The 17,333-nt window shown below is 42.1% G+C and overlaps 1 protein-coding gene across 7 annotated transcripts in view; it reads left to right on the forward strand.

Moving 5' to 3' along the window:
- Positions 1 to 1,468: 1,468 nt before the first annotated feature.
- The window catches only part of TMEM178A (transmembrane protein 178A), a 70,478-nt gene continuing 54,613 nt past the window's right edge, over positions 1,469 to 17,333 (forward strand). For 5 of the 7 annotated variants that reach the window (XM_024452702.2, NM_152390.3, XM_005264144.1 and 2 more), the window contains exon 1: positions 1,903 to 2,360. In XM_024452702.2, the coding sequence (XP_024308470.1) occupies positions 1,961 to 2,360 (400 nt within the window). In that variant the 5' untranslated portion in view covers positions 1,903 to 1,960. Of the gene's footprint in view, positions 1,627 to 1,902; positions 16,055 to 17,333 lie in introns of those variants that run through there. The other 2 variants (NM_001167959.2, XM_047443422.1) reach the window with 2 other exon arrangements.

Here is a 17,333-nt window from a genome sequence, read left to right on the forward strand (position 1 = left end):
ATCCAGCTAAGACTCCTTTGATGAGCTCAGTGTTTGCTGTGAAGGAAAAGCTTATAGGTGAGAGGAACACTAAAATTATAATTCTTTGTCTTCCTTAATTAGACTAGAGCTCACCATAGACCTTGCTGAAACTGTGAGAAAATCCAAGCAATAATTCACACTGTCAGGTCAGCAGAAATGGGAATGCGGGTCTGATATAACTGAAAGATTTGCTTAAGTGATCTATCTATGAACTGAACCGCTCAGAATAGGCACACGATCTTCACTGGAAATGTACCCTCTGAAGATGCTAAACACAAACAGCAATGAAAATAAATCCCAGCAAGAGCCTTATACCACCTTTACAGATGTCATCCTAGAGGAAGGATATAAAGCATATTAATACCAATTGATGTAGGGCACTAATTAATAAGTCCCATTAAATCATGGAGTAATGACATTTAGCATGTAATGAATGCCTCATAATTTCTTCATCATTAATATTTCATAGCATAAGAACACAAGCATTTTCATCCCTGGGCCAGTGCAGCATGGTTTTCTGTCTCTGACATGACCACAAGGGCATTGAGTGGCACGAGTGTATTGCACCTCTGTGGTATAGACTGACTATACCGCACAAGTGATTAACTCTTAGCACCCCGGGTCCTAGCGTTTCCTCATTTTAGAAAATGTGAATCTGCCTGCCATTCTTGGAAGTAACCTCTGTGACTGGAAGATGGAAGAACTGCCCCAGGCTCAGGTGTTGACTTTGGTGTGTAGCATTGCTTTGCTGTTGACCCCCACCCCCCAGCCCAAGAAGGAAACCTGCACAGGAGAAAATCATTACTTTGATTTATTACTGGGGGCTTGCTGTATGCAAAGGCAATAATCACCTCATGGAGCAGGTGCCACTGCCAGGGTTCATTGATTCCAGGCTCTTCTAGAAATTCCAGGAGGCCAGTCAGTCTGGCGGGAGATGGACGTAGTCAACGAAAAAAGAAGTCCATCTCATAGCAGGTTGAAATGAAGTGGGAGAAAAATCTCTGGTCATCGTTCTATCGCTCCACTGACACTCGGTGTCTTTTTCTTTCAGAAGAGGGGCTTGAGCAGAGAGAATGCTTAGAGGCTAAGCGATGGGCAAGTGAGAGGGAAAGAGCCGCGACAGATAGAGCTGGCTGCCTAGGGGTCTCAGAGGCTTCATCCTGCAGGCGGCAGGCGGCAGGACAAAGGGACCTTCGGACTCCAGATCAAGATTCCAAGGAGTTAAACGCTACCACGCAGCCCGACCTGGATGGGATTTGCTCCTGGGTACAAAACGGGACACTGATCAAAATCAACTTGGACAAGTGACAAGAGTGAGTCTTATGTCGGTGGATGTCTTTTAAGGTCGTTGGAGGGAAGAGGACGGGAGGGGTGTGCCGAGGGGTAGGTGGAGAGAGGCACCGAGTCCAGAGCCGGGATATAAATGCACCAGGAGCCGGGGAGCAGAGGAGCAAATGAGTGGGGGAAAGTGTGAGAGGAAGAGTTGGAGAAAAGTCGGGGGAAAGTAGGGACAGGGTTAAGGGGAGAGAGGAGGATGAGGGCGGCGAGGAGAGATTAAAAGGGGAAGGGGGGTCGCTGGAGAGGAGGGCGGACTGTGGATCGGAGGTAGGGAGAGGGGCGAGAGGAGTGCGCGGGGTGGGGGGCGCCGGGGCGAGGAGAGGGGGCTGGGGAAGAGGAGGGGGGCAAGAAAGCGAGAGCGGCGCGGGGGAGGGCTAGGAGCCCGGGGGCCGGGCCGGGGGCGGGCGGGCGGTGGGAGGCGAGATCAGGCCAGGGGAGAGGGAGCGAGCCGGGCCGGGCTCGCAGGGCGAGGAGGCCGTAGGAGGGAGGTGGGGGGCAGGTGGGGGGAAGAGGGAGGGAGCGGGCGGAGAGCTGGGGCCAAGTGCATTGTGTCTGGCGGCGGCGCGCGAGCCCACCGGCGGCTGCGGCGGGGCGGGAAGCCATGGAGCCGCGGGCGCTCGTCACGGCGCTCAGCCTCGGCCTCAGCCTGTGCTCCCTGGGGCTGCTCGTCACGGCCATCTTCACCGACCACTGGTACGAGACCGACCCCCGGCGCCACAAGGAGAGCTGCGAGCGCAGCCGCGCGGGCGCCGACCCCCCGGACCAGAAGAACCGCCTGATGCCGCTGTCGCACCTGCCGCTGCGGGACTCGCCCCCGCTGGGGCGCCGGCTGCTCCCGGGCGGCCCGGGGCGCGCCGACCCCGAGTCCTGGCGCTCGCTCCTGGGGCTCGGCGGGCTGGACGCCGAGTGCGGCCGGCCCCTCTTCGCCACCTACTCGGGCCTCTGGAGGAAGTGCTACTTCCTGGGCATCGACCGGGACATCGACACCCTCATCCTGAAAGGTGAGCGGCGGGCGCACCCCGCGTCCCCGGCGCCCGCGCGTGGAGCGCAGCCCGCGGCTTCCCAGGGGCGCGCCGGTCCCCGCAGCCCCCTCCCAGCCGCGGCCCCGCGCCTGGGCATTCTTGCATCCTTCCCGCCGCCTCCAGTCTTTATCTCTTCCCTTTCTTTCCCCACTGCCTCCCTTCTTCTCCCTCTCCTTGACTCTCTTCTTTCGTCCACATCCTGCGCGTCCTTTCAAGTCCGTGCCGCACCTCCCGCCTCTGTCTCCTTCTTTCCTGCCTTCGCCTCCCATTCCCCGGTTCTCTCTCTCTCCCCGTCCTTCTCTGCCTTTGTACACCTGCCTGACATGTGTGTCTTTTCTTGACGCTGCTCCCCGTGAGGGGGACTAACCGTCAAAGACTCGACTTTTCTCACCCGGGCTCCTTCCTTCAAGTTGTGCTCCTTTTGGAAATACCGTTTGGAAGAAAAGTGGTGCCGACCTCCGAAGAGAGGGAAGGGGCTTTGCCTGTATTGTGCGGATGCTGGTGTCAGACGGAACTGATGTGGTCATCCCAGCCTGGCAGGGCTGATGGGCAGCGAAGGAGGCCCCGGAACCTTCCTTCATACCCCTGAAGTGCAGGGTGTGTGTGGATTAGACTTCAGAGACCAATCGTTGGCTGGTGGAGGCTGGTGGAGGCTGCCCGAGGCAGATAGGACACCTGCTTTCCAACCTTCCTGAGGACCCCATACCCCCACCCTCCTCGCTGTCCAGGCACTGAGGAGAGAAAATGTCCTCGCCCTTTAAACTAGAGCTTTCCAGATTTGGGCACTCACTCTCTGCTTATCACTCTGTCTTCTGTTCGTGGTACCTTGTCAGGTTGTTTTTGTTGTTTGTTTTGTTTGGCACTGAGTTGCAGAGCATCAATTTGTTCTTCTGAAATCTGTGCAACACCTGTCTTCTGTGAATGCTATCAGATAGTTTGATTTTTTTTTTTTTTTTGGTAATCCCATTCACGTAAAAATATTCAGTGTGACAACTTGTGAAGCTTCCTTTAACTTTCAGAACTTGACTCAATGTATTTTTTTCCCCTTTGAGATTAAAAAAAAAAATCAACATCTCTTCTCTTGGACTCATGATGCCAAAAAAGAAAAAGTCCAAAATCAGTACATTTTAATATTTAGTAGCCATGTAGGAAAACAAACAGACGGATTTGTGTTGAGTTACAGCCTGGAATGGAATGACATAGAAAAGAGGGGGTTAATAATGTGTTGGCCTTCAGAGTCTTGCTAGTTGGCGGATTCTTCATTTCTCAAACATGTCAACTTCCTCCTTCCCATGGCTAACTCAGCTGGGGACTGCCATCCAAAATCTGTCTGCGTGTGGAAGGACTCCAGCACTTTTAGGGGAACCAGATACAGTAAAATCTTTTGGGAAGTGCACCATTTTCTTTTCTCTCCTAACTTGCATCCAAATCTGATTTCTCCTCATGAAGATGCTGCATAATTAATTCTGATAGTAGCATAGTACATGAACAAACTGTAAAAGCTGAATGTGGAGGCTCAGTTATGGAGTGCTCATTTAGGCAAGGCAATTTTGAAAGCTAAGCAGTGTAGTCTGTCTTTGGAAATGACAGAACTGCATTTCCTTACACTTTCTATGCTTAGAGTATTTGATTGCATGTAAATTGGATATAGAGCAATGCCTGAAACAGCAGGGCAGAGTCAAACCTACAGTAGAAGAGGGGACCCCCACAGGATATTGCACAATGCCTCTGCAAATGCCCTGGCTAACTGAGGTGCCAGTTCCAGGGCAGTCCAGGGTCAAATAATAGAGGTGGAAGGACTTTAGAGGTCATTGAAGTTGAACATCTACTGGTTGTTCAAATTCCCTTCTACAATCTTTCTGACAAATGGTTGTCTAGCCCAGTACTTCCGTAAGACGGAACTCATATACTCGTTAAAAGAACTAGATTTTCCCAGTCACGAATGCCTATTTTTAGATGAAAACAATCTCAGCTTTATAATATTGATGGTGTTTAGCTAATCTTTTGTGTAGAACACTGAAGAGTTCTAGGTTGTGAACAGAAGATATGGGCCCCATTGCTGGCTCTGTTGCTAAATTGCAGTGTGTTCTCCAAGTATCAAGACCTTCTTCGCCTTCGGTTTCCTTGTCTGTGGTATTATTAGGAGGGATGACTATTCTTTAGAGAAATTTCTAGTTCACATATCTGTCATTGTTATAATTAATAACAATGTAAATTTAGCTTCTTGCAAAGTTAATGAGCCAACGCTATTAAGCAATGAGGAGTTTGGAGGAAAGAACAGGCATTGGTAGATTATAGGATCATAATTTGTTGTTTGGGAGATGTCCAGAAATGCCTTGTAATGTTGCTACTAACCAACCTTGGGCTAGTTACATAATTCTTCTAGATCTCAGTTTCATCATCTGTGAAATGTATGGGTGACAAGAGCAGCTTTAAAATTCTGAGTCTATGAATAATTTGAGAAAAGAAAATGTCACCAACATTTTCCTGGCTCAAAGATGATTTTGGCACCCATATTAGGCAAACATTATCACCTTTGTTTTGGCATCTGACATTAGTGGCTGTGGTATGAATTTCTTAAATGAGCCATTTATAAAACTAGAAATTAACACTGTATCTAATTTTAAAATTTGAGCAACTAGAGTCCCAAGTTCCATTCTTTCTTCTATGAGTTACCTTGTTTATGAGTCTTAGCATCGTTTAGAAATTTTAATGGTAGGAAATGAAAAGTTTATTCAGATGGGAGAGTGGGGAGGGGTGGAAAAAGGGCTCAAGAACTGTCTGGCATGCTTAGTGAGCTTCTGAGAGGCAAAGATGTCAGCATTTTCTTCTCTGGACCTAGAGGGCAAAGCTAGGAGTTGAATGAGGAGTGCAGGGAAGAAAATGTAGAGTTGATAATATGGAAAACATTCTCATAATAGGAATTATTTACATTTCCTATTACTGGAGGCAAGACAAGAGAGATATATTTCTGAGAGATGTACAGGGGATAGAAACATGCAATGTGGGCAATAAGAGATTAATTTAGAAATATGCAAGGCTCTATAATATTAGTCTACTTAAGAGAAATCACTGGAGCTAGAAAAGCATTTATCTCAATGGGACAAGTATTTGGGAGAATCATCAAGTTCTTGTTTTCACACTCTTATTATGATACAAGTTCACTTCTATCTAGCCCAGAGCCTGGAATGGTCTAGGCTTGACGTTTAGCCAGAACCTTCAGAAAGAATGGAGGTAAAGTTATTGATACGCTCATTAAGAACCAAGACTAGAACCCTTTGCTATTCTACCAGACTGACAAATAAAACAAAATATTTGCCAGCATAGTTTAAACATAGTTATTTTTCTAGCAGCAAGTTCTCTTAATAGCACTATATTGACCAATCCACATTTCACTATCTTGTTCACTGGGATAACATGATAACTTATCAAATGCTTTAGAGATATTACATTCATACTGTATTTCCATACTTACTGTCCAATTCAGTAAATGCCCATTAGAAGCTTATTATGTGCAAGGTAATGTTAGAAGATTTTGGCTAAACATGTGGGGGTTCTTTTGTGTTTGAGTTGGTCAGTTGACTCTAAATTAGTCTTCCTTATATGCCATTCTTGCAGCACTGGCTAACTTTTGATGCTGAGGAAGCTTTGCTGATCCAAGTAAGGACTGACTTGGAAAAGTATGCAAATGAAATCAGCCTTCACCCAGCGATTTGAGTGCTGGAATAGTTGAACAAAATGGACTTAAAGCTTAGGGCTTCAGGTACCTCTGTGGCACTGGGAATGTGGGGGGCGGGGTCTGAAAGAAGTCTTTAGGTGTAAAAATCTGTAAGGTAAGTGAGTGTGTCATGGATTATAAAAGGATGCCAGGAAATGACAAGTGGCCTAAAGATAGTTCTTCATTCATTCATCCATTTATTCACTCAACAAATAGATGTTGGAGTGTTGGTTATTGTACCAGGTGTAGAAGATACAGGAGTGAATAAAATAGATAAAAATCCCTGCCTTCATAGAGTTTATTTCAAGTAGTGGAGTTAGTATTTTCTAGTGGATTATATTATAACTACTCTTAGTAGGTCATAGGACCAGGGTAGGAGAATACTTTGGGATGGCTGATAGCACTGGTGGGTAAAATGACAGAAAATACAGGGCAGAGTGATCACATGCAGCATCCTTTAGGGGACTCCTAGCTGTTCTCTCCCAAGTGCAGTATATATGTTTCAACTACTGGATGAATAGGAAGACAGGACAGATGGAAGCAGACTCAGTTGGAAACATTATGTAATGCTTCTTTCAGTTCTTGAAAACACTGACTTTAATAAATAAACATTGATGTGACTTGCAAATACATTATGTAGAACTTTGGAGAAATCAATTTTGAATAGAAATTGGAGTCATAGAAATGACATTAGAAGTTCAGCTATTCACACTAGCCTTCACTTTAACTTTTTAATGAAACATTTTCATTAAAAACAATTAACATTATTTTCTATTATATATACTTTGTGCATGTCAATGAAATTCTAATATTACATATTATCTGCAATAAAAACAGAAAATTAATGTGTTTTGTTTTTATAAAATTAAAAATGATAGGATTTCAGAAATGTGAAGATTATAAGGCTGTATGCACAATGCTGACCTGTATAAATCAACTGGGTTTGAATTCTTGAAACTTGGAATAGAACATGTTCTTGTAGTTGCAGAAGCATTTTTCCTCTAATGAGATAAACAGATATCAAAGACAGTGGGTCATAAATACTTTGTCATTTTGTTCTCTATAAGAAAAGCAAAGTAAGAGATTTGGTAGGAATTCATTGGGTCTGCTTTTCACTCTGCTCATGATTTATCTGCCTCTCCTGTTGCTTATTTCCCATGAAATTAATAGTCTGCACAGGACCCACCAAGTTCTACCTGACACAGAAATAGATTGATGATTTTCTTCAGCTCATTTGTAGACCAAAGTATAATTTGTGTTGGAATAATTATCTTCCAAGAGCAGATATATCTAGGGAAGTTGAGAAACCAGCACCGTCTCTCCTTCTTGACCCAGTGGTTCACAGATTGTTCTCGGACCTTCTCTTGGGTTAAAAGATGCTGCTGGTAAAAGGGATTCCTCAGTTTTGGGGGTTCTGGGGATATGATTAAGACTTCGTTTTTCTTTCCCTCTTTACTTCTCAAGGCGAGTAGTGTCTGAAATTCTTTGGGCATCACTCTGTGATTTATGTTTATTCATTTTTAAATTATGTGCATGGACTGTACTGACACATACATCATAAAACAGACAAAAGCAAATTTCGAAGGGATGTGGTAATACATATATATAACTAGAAGTTCAACCATTTTCATGCCACTGTCCAAAGAATTTCATGTGCACCCCTGGCATGTACAGACCGCACTCTCAAGACTGCTTCTCTCACTGCTCAGAGCCAAGTCTCTCATCTGAGCAGAGGAGGAGGGATTTTTCCTATCACAGCTGAAATTCATGGCGGGTATCCCAGTGCGCTCTTATATCACACACATTTATCTTGCACAGGGGAGAGAAGAAGATGCATTTTATTTCTGTACCAATTCTGACATTAGGCACAGTATTAAATGAGCCCTTTTTGATTAAACAACTGCTAGCTCATACTACACAACTCTTAATGACTAGATTTGTAGTTTTAGCTTGTTCCACAGTGTGCTGAGGCTGAACATACCCAAGTGTGATATTCAATGTTTCAACACATTCTATTGCTAACATCATGAAGGTTATCTTGAATAGAAATTAAATTCTTGCCACTCTGCCATCAAAAGAATATACTTGCTTCCATTCTTACTATCTGCACACAGGAATTGTCTTTTAAAAGTGATTTATAAACACAAAAGTGGATGGTACTTTAAGTAGTTTATGATCAAAATTGCCAGAATCAATGACATTTTCATTCACTATGTTTCATGGATAACATTTAGCAATGGCCTTGAGGGGAAAAAAGGAAGAGTTTGCTATGTCATAGAAAGTTCACATCCAATTATACCCGAGTTGCTGTGCTTTTTTTCCTTAGCTACTGATTTTTCTTCTTCAGATAGCAAAAAGAGCCCTCGAACCCCATCAGGCAGACTGCTCGTAATTATAATTGCAACGGTTCTTTTTTCATTTTTTTTGAGACAGAGTCTTGCTCTGTCTGTCACTCAGGCTAGAGCTGAGTGGCACGATCATAGCTCACTGCAGCTTTGAATTGGGCTCAGGTTATCAGGTGATCCTTTCACCTCAGCCTCCCAAGTAGCTGGGACTACAGGTGTGTGCTAGCACACCTGGCTGATTTAAAAAAAAAACAACTTTGTAGAGATGGGGTCTTGCTATGTTTCCCAAGCTGTTCTCAAACTCCTGGCCTCAAGAGATACTCTTGCCTTGGCCTCCCAAAGTGTTGGGATTACAGGTGTGAGCCACTGGGTTTCCCTCACCCAGCGAGTGTCCTTGATTGCTATAAAAGATCAGTTTTTGTTGGAGGAGCGTCTGGACATTCCTTCCCATTGAGAAAATGTCAATGCTAAGTGTGAAATGCCAGGGGATGGGAACATTGAAGGAATTGAGGTGGGTCACAGGGTTTTCCCAACAGTTAGCAAGAATGAACTCTGCTTTCATCTTTGTGTACATCTGTAGTGCTGTGTGCTCCAGATAATCAGCTTATAATTACAGATTATATAATCACAGATTTTCAGATTATAATCACAGATTATTCATGCCAGCAAACCACGACCTCAGATTGGCCATCTCTTCATGCCCTGAGCCTTGGAGCATGAGAGAGTCCGCCTTGGCCGTCGTCATGAAGCTGACAGCCTTTGTTTGCTGCAGAGTCACGGGAAACTACATGCTGCACCCCATCTTTCTTGCAACTCCGCCAGATAGCTGATTGCAGACCCAACAGTAATGTCATGGGGACACCCATCAGGGAATGCATTAGCAAGTGAACAAACGGGGACAAATACAAACCATATTTAAGTTTCTGTTATCTTTAATTACTGAGGACACACTGAATTATTTTCTATAACTTGCTGGATGTCCTCCAGTGTTCAGACTTTTTAATATTTCGTTCATAGGTAAAAATCAATCAACTCATTTTTCCCCTAAGAACCTAAAGGATGTAATATATTCCCTTTTGGTTTCACCAAGTGATTTGACATTCTATAGCTAGGGAAGAGACTCCAGAAATGTAAGTAGGAAATTCTGAGTGTACAGATAATTCCAGAAGGCTTAATTGTCTCTTTACAACAGGTCACTCAAATGCAAACCCACACCATGCTTCCATCTGCCTTGCAAATAAGTACTAACTTGCACTCTTAAGGTCTGTTACAGCAGAACTAGCAGGGTAGGGGCAGTGGTGGATGGGAGGCTATACTGGGCTTGGATCTCTTTTGTCTACATTTCAAGGAATTTTTATTTGGTGTGGGGGATGTGAGCACTTGCTTCACTCAACAATCATCAACAAATGTTAAAAATGATTTTTTTTTAAACAGGAGGCTGTTTAGTGAAAAACAGGGGTGGTCCCATGGGAATGTGCTTTCCCTAACTATACCCAGAGCAGTGAGGAAGGGGGTCTAAGTGAGTGGGGGCAGGCTGCTGGTTAACTTGAGTTTTAACACCTTTTTTTAAGTTCTCACAATTTTGAAAGCTGCTTGTAGGAAAACTTCTCTTGGTATTCAGACAATGGAAGTTTGGTTGAAGGAAGCTACAACTTACAAGTATTGGAAAAACAGATAGGCTGAACTAAGGAGTGGCGGGAAAAGCAACAGTGACTGCCAACATCAACGGTTCAATATTGTCTTTTTCTAAGATACTTGAACGTGCATGTTTATAGCAGCACAATTCACAATTGCAAAATCATGGAACCGACCCAAAGGCCCATCAATCAGAGTGGATAAAGAAACTGTGTGTACACAATAGAATACTACTCAGCCATGAAAAGGAATGAATTAAGATCATTTTCAGTAACCTGGATGAGATTGGAGACTATTATTCTAAGTGAAGTAACTCAGGAATGGAAAACCAAACGTTGTATGTTCTCACTGATCATTGGGAGCTAAGCTATGAGGACTCAAAGGCATAAGAATGATACAATAGACTTTGGGGACTTGGGAGGAAGAGCGGGAGTGGGGCGAGGGATAAAAGACTACAAATATGGTGCAGTGTTTACTGCTCCAGTGCTGGGTGCACTAAAATCTCACAAATCACCACTAAAGGACTTACTCATGTAACAAATACCACCTGTACTCCAATAACTTATGGAAAAACAAAATAAAAAAAATTAAAAAAATTTGTCTTTTTCTTCAGGTGTTTGAAACAAACAAAAAAGACACAAAGGAACTGTTTACTATACAGCAGTACAAGAAAAAATCCAGCCAGAAGATACCCGCTGAAGAAGCATCAAAGTCTTGTATTCCTTTCTCTCTCTCTCTTTTTTTTTCTCAAGTTACCTTTTCTTTCTGAAATTCAAGTTGGTAGGAGGAAAATAAGCACGCGTAGAATAAAAAATTCATAGAGTTGAAAGGAATTTCAAGCAGTGATTCTTACCTGATTTTTATACTATAATGTGGGTGATAGGTGATTTGCACTCGGGCTACAGACTCCTGTCAATTATCCACAAAACCTGGCATACCAGCTCTAACTGCCTTCATTTCTCTCTCAAACCATATTATCAGAATGCCTGTGAGCAAGGGGGATGCTATTATCAGCATAATCTCAAATGGGTTTTAATTTATGAGACAGAATATATTGCTTGGAAGGAGTAGGCCCTTTGATTTTTGTATAGAAGATGTAGGGGTGGGGGCTTCATCCAGATCATGCATTTTGAAGTGTTGGGGGTATATGGTGAGCTGAAGGATGAGTGCTCAGTCCCCCAAAGTCATCTCTAGGCACCACCACTGATTTGGAAAATTGGCAGCTGTATAAATAACTCATTACCTACCAGTCCTCTGAACAGGTCCCAACACATCTGATTTGGGAAAGTTAAAAAATAATGACAGGAGAGGTTATAAAAGGGCAGTTTTGTATGCCATACAAATGTGACAGTTACTGAAATAAATAGGTCTGAGAGCCACTGAGAGGCGTGAAACAGAGTAGTTCCCCGTTGACTTAACCACCGATACAGATGATTCTGCGGTATTATTTTGATGATGCCACAGGGGAAAGTGAGTGCTGCTTACTAATAGGCCCCAGATTGTAATTTTGGAAATCTGTGGCATGGGTGTTTTTTAGAGCATGTTTTTATTTATAAGTTATCACACAGTTCTTGTTTTCACATTCTTCTGGCTGTATTTACAGGTTAAAATGCCAGACATTTTTTTTTTCCTGGTCAGGTATTCATCCATACATGCAGTCTTCTGGAGTTGTTATTTATTTCTTAAAAACGATTTTCTTTTTTAGAGACAAGGTTTCATTCTGTTGTCCAGACTGGAGTGCAGTGGCGCGGTCATACTTTGCTGCAGCCCCAAACTCCTGGGCTCAAGTGATTGTCCCACCTCAGCTTCTGGAGTAGCTAGGATTACAGGCATGCTCTACCATGCCTAGCTACTTTTCTTTTTAAATTTTTTTGTAGAAACAGGGTGTTGCTTTGTCGACCAGGTTGGTGTCAAACTCCTGGCCTCAAGCGATCCTCCCACCTTGGCCTTCCAGTGTTGGGATGATAGTTATTTCTAAACAAGGTCAGATATAGCAGTATTTCTCATTAGATATGAAACATTATAATTTGGGTTGTGGGTGTAATTTTAAAATATGTAGTTGATAAAGTGCTTGATAAACATTTATCCACTCACTTGGGTGGGCCTTTAAGTGCCAAATAATAGAATACCCAAATAAAAATGGCTTAGCCTACAAGGAAAACGTATTATCTTGTGTAACAGGACGTTTGGAGAAAGCCTGCATGTGGCTAGTTAATTAAAGAGATTCAATGGTTTTGGGCTTTAGCAGACCCAAGGTAGGCAGTTTTGTCTTGAGCCATGTCTCTACCTGGTCATGACAGTTCTGTGAGTTGCTAGTTGTGAATTCTGTGAGTGAGCTAGGAAACGGAAGAAGCCAGTCCCCATTTTCCGATGTCTTCTTTTACAATAAATGTAATTTCCCAGAAGGCGTCCTGCAGACTTCCCACCGGTCTCATTGGCTAGAATTATGTCACGTGACCATTCTTAAAGCAATCCCGGGCAAGTGGAATGGACCATGATTTTCTTAGACCAATCAAGCTTCAGCCCTGGGGCTGGAGAAAGGGCCCAGGCTCCCCAGGAAGCACTTGGCTGGCTGACACCTGAACAAAATCTGGCTTTGGTCAGCCACGGAAGAGGGGTTCCAGAGAGCCACACAAGATAGAGCCTGAAGCAGCAGGTGTGTTCAGGCGGCAGTCCCATCCTGCCTATGGTCATTCCATAGTAGGAGAAGACTGAGAAGAGAACTCAGATTTTCTTCCAGCTTTTCCAGATCTACCACTTTCTCCACATACTGCCCTAATAGACACATGGAAGTGCCCTGAAAGCCCTGTGCTTTTCTGTTTGAAGAGCTGTTTGAGTCTCTTTAATCTCTAGAGATTCAGAGATGGCATGGTTGGTTCTAAGGAGGCTTATTTATAATTGCACTTTTAAAATTGAAGGTAAATGTTCAAAATTGTGCATTCTAGGGAATATTAATGTACTTTAAGATCAGAAGGTGCAGTTGCTATGAATTTAATACACATTGGATTGGAGAGCTTGGTGCTTCAGTGCTTCCTATGTACAGCCTTTGTCCTCACTCTCGTCCCCATTCCCCCACCCCTGGATGTTCAGTGCCTCCCAAGAAGAGCTTCATGGAGAGCATTTTTCTGAATATCTCCCTTCACCCCCACTCCTCAAACCAGGTTCATTTATAGAATCTGTTCAAGCCAGGCTATGACTTTTTTTAACTTCTTGATTTCTTGGAGGAAAACAACAACAACATATTTCATTTCTATCCTTTGACTGGCAACTGAGTGACCATGATTACAACTTCCCAGTGCATCTATAAATATAATAACTTTGAACAAGAAAATTAGCAAATCACTCCTTGCTATTGCCAGTGTCCTGGTGTGTTGATAGTGGCGCGTGTTCAAAATTAGAAATTAAACAATTCTAATTTGAAGAAAAGCCACTTAACTCATGTCTGTATTGGGCTTTCATTATCTTTGAAATTTCTGTGAAGTATCATCTGCTTTTGAAATGACAAGCTGGAAGACCTGGGGAGGAAGCAGTTGTTCAGCAGTATATGTTTCTGTGTTTGGAGGAGTGGGATGGACCCTGGTCATCTCAGCAGGAATGTTCAAGTCAAAACCTTTCCAGCAAACCTCAGGTTTCCTGTGCTAGGCTCCTCTTGGACCTCTCGTTCGACACCGAGAGACCTATTTATTACAGCTTGATACTTCCTCAGAGCAGGAATTATGAAGCAAGAAAACAATCTGAACTGTTACAGATGGGCTGAGCTAGCAGGATTTTAGCACAGAAGCCTCAGAAGATGGTGTAAAGCCACAAGGTATGTGGGTGGGCATATATTTGGACCACCATATTGCATGCCAACTTGTAGGTTCGACAAGAAAAAAAAAAAGCAAGCAAGCAGGCAGGAGAGAAAGGAAAGGAGATAGGAAGCCCAAGAAGGAAGGCAGGAAGGAACAGATGAGCAACTATTTGGTGGATCTTCAGGGAACCATCTCCATAGATCTTGTTTCCTTAAATATCCATTAGGTACATTTAGCTTTCTAAAATACAATGTTATGTCTTTCCTTTAAGTAAAAATATCGGATAGATTCCTTAATAAGTTAAACATAGAAGAACCAAATATCCCAGCAATTCCACTAGTAGGTATATACCCCCAAAAGTTGAAAACAGATACTCAGACAAAAACACTGTACATAAATGTTCACAACAGCACTATTTGCAATAGCCAAAATATGGAAACAATCCAAATGTCCATCAACTGATGAATAGATAAGAAAATGTGGTATGTCCATACAATGGAACATTATTCAGCCATAAAAAGGAATGAAATACTGACACACGTTACAACATGGATGGACCTTAAAAACACTATGCTCGGTGAAAGAAGTCAGACACCAAAGGCCATAAGTTGTATGATTTTATTTATGAAATATACAGATTAGGCAAACCCACAGAGACAGAAAACAGGGAGGGGATAATAGGGAGTGACTGCTTAATGGGTAAGTGATTTTCTTTTAGGTTTGTGAAAATGTTCTGGAAATAGATATTGGGAGTGATTGCACAATGTACTAAATGTCACTAAATCGTACACTTTAGTTAAGATGTAAACAAAAAAACCCCAAATCTCTGATAATTTCCCACTGCCTACAGCTACAAGTCTGAATTTAGCAGGTCATAAAAAAGCTTTTACCTTGTGGCTCCAGCTGCCTTTCTGGTTATATACCCAGCTACTTCTGCATGAAATCTAGGATCAAGTCACATAAGACCATTTTCTAGTCCTTCAATACACATGCACTTTCGTATCTCTGTGTCATTGTGAATACTGCTTCCTCTGCCTGAATACCATCCTCTCTTGTCCATCTGGACAGCATCTACTTTTCCTTGAAAGCTTAGTGCTATTCTTATTTCCTCTCTAGCTTTCCTTGCCTCTGTCCTCAGCACCTCTCTCATTCCCTGCAGAATTAATTGCTGTATTAACTGGGATGCCATTGTACTTTATACATACCTTTATGATAGCACTTTCTACATTGTACTGTATGGTTTCCTTGTTAATTTTACATCCTATCTTAAGGCCAGGGATGGATACCATCCAGGTTAGTATTGGGCACATGGCGATCTGCCATAGAATGGTTGTTGAAATTTGCCTTAGATTGATTCAAATCACGGTCATATCTGACCCACTCTCTTCTCACCCACTTCAGTGTTTTTGTTGTTGTTGTTCAATTCAAGGACAGGAGAAGTGAGAGTTATTCTCAGTTTTCAAAGACTAAGACACTAATTATTAATCCAAAGAAGATAAGGTACTTGGTGTTAAAAAAAAAGTAGTAATAGTGGTAGATGGGTAAAATGCTGACATTTATTATACACTTTTTTTTGAAGTATTCAAAAAAAATCAGTGTATAACTAACAAAGAGTGCATCTTTATGGAGATTTTCCTCATAAAATGTTCTTAATCCTTAATAGAAGGATTATATCATTATGTAGGTGTTTTTGTCTCTTTACTTATCTCCATAGGAAGTCACTACCTTCAAGAAACTCTTCCTTTGTCTCTGTTCTTTCACAGGACTTAGTAGGGCAGTTTTCAGAAGACGGAAACTCAATATATTGGTCATACTTTGCCAGGTTCATTCTATGTATGTCCTTTTTCTGTTTTGGTTTATTAAATATTCTTTTTCCAGTAAAACGGTTGCAATTCCAGTTACATACTTTCCTTGATCAGAAAGCAGAATAGCTGGAATGAGTTGCTGCAAGAAAGACTCTTGGTTGCTGTCCTTCATCAGGCTCTTCACTGAACCACCCTGCTGCTGTGTCAGACTTGCTACTAGGGAGATTCCTGTATGCTGAAAAAAGCCTGGAGAATCACGTGGGGTGTGAGGGTGCTCTTCAGGCTCTTCAAGCAGAGGTGGCTCTTCAAGAGACCGGTGGTTTTACTGGCATTCTGAAGCAATCTTCCTCCTAACAAGTTGATTTTGCAGTTTATTGAGGTGACAGGAGACTGGAGATTTGGGGCATGTTCTTTACTCTGCTCTTAACTAGCTATGTGACCTTGGCAAGTGACCTTACCTCTTCAGATCTTGATTTTCTCATATGTAAATATGGAGGTTGGATTCGTGTAACCTGTTTAGTCTCTTGTAGCTTTAACCAGCTGTAGTTATAAGATGCCTAGAAAACAGCAACTTAATTAACTCAGCAAAGTGTCAGGATGGGAAAAGGTCAGTTCTCTCTAGAAGTGGGTAAGCATTAGGACAGCCCAAGTTTAAGGGCCTTTTTCGGTTTTCAAATTGTTCACTCACAGAGCTTTTCTTTGCTCTTTTGAATGTGACATGCTTTCTTATTGCTAATTTTCTTTTTCATTTCCTGAGGGATTCAAAGGAGAAATTGGAACTTTTCTATCGTTTCAGGAATTGTTTTCTGTTGGAGCAACATTTACCATTTGGTTAGAAGGACTCAACTGTATAATTTATAATTTTTTTCTTAGATGATTTCATAGGGAATTGATAATAAGTTATACCTGGTGTCAGGAACTGGAATTAGAGTTCATAGTAGAGAATGCAAAAGGAGTATACCCTTTAGAAAACTACTTAGTATAATTTAAATTTTGCCTTAATTGCCCATTTTAAATTTCTTTGAAGAAGTTTTGAAAAGATTTTGATGAAAGAAAAAAACATGCTTTTTTTTGTTTCAACAGGAAAAACATTGTAGGTTTATTCCTTCTTTGCTTCATGAGAGTATTTAATACTCATAATTCATGTGAAGACAAAGAGAAGTCTATAATTGTGCTTCATTTTATTCAAAAGTTTTAGATAGTGCTTTTTGAATTTAATAATTCTGTGTTAAATACCTGGAAGTTATACTTAATCACTTTAATTTAATTTGTATTATGAATCTGGATTATTCATTTCAATTTCTTTGTTTTTTTTTCCTTGAATGTTATTTCTAGGTAGCTTGCCACATATTGCAATTGGGATAATAGTTAATTTTATTCAAAGCCCTACTCAAGAAATTTGAACATGACATGACTTTCTGTGACCCCCAATTTCCTCGTTTATACTGATGAAAGGACATATCTAGGTAAACCTCTTTAGTCATACGTGGCAATGATTATAATGGCAGATCTGCTACTCAACCTCTGATGCTTGATAGGACCTGTTTTTACTTAAATCCTTCCACACAAAGCAGACATTAGGTAGACATGCCAAGAGATCTGTGTCATCTCCATCAGGGTCAGGCTGATTCTCATTGAAAGAGCCACAGTGTGACTTC

Source organism: Homo sapiens, chromosome 2 (genome assembly GCF_000001405.40).
Source record: "Homo sapiens chromosome 2, GRCh38.p14 Primary Assembly".
Taxonomy (NCBI): Eukaryota; Metazoa; Chordata; class Mammalia; order Primates; family Hominidae; genus Homo; species Homo sapiens.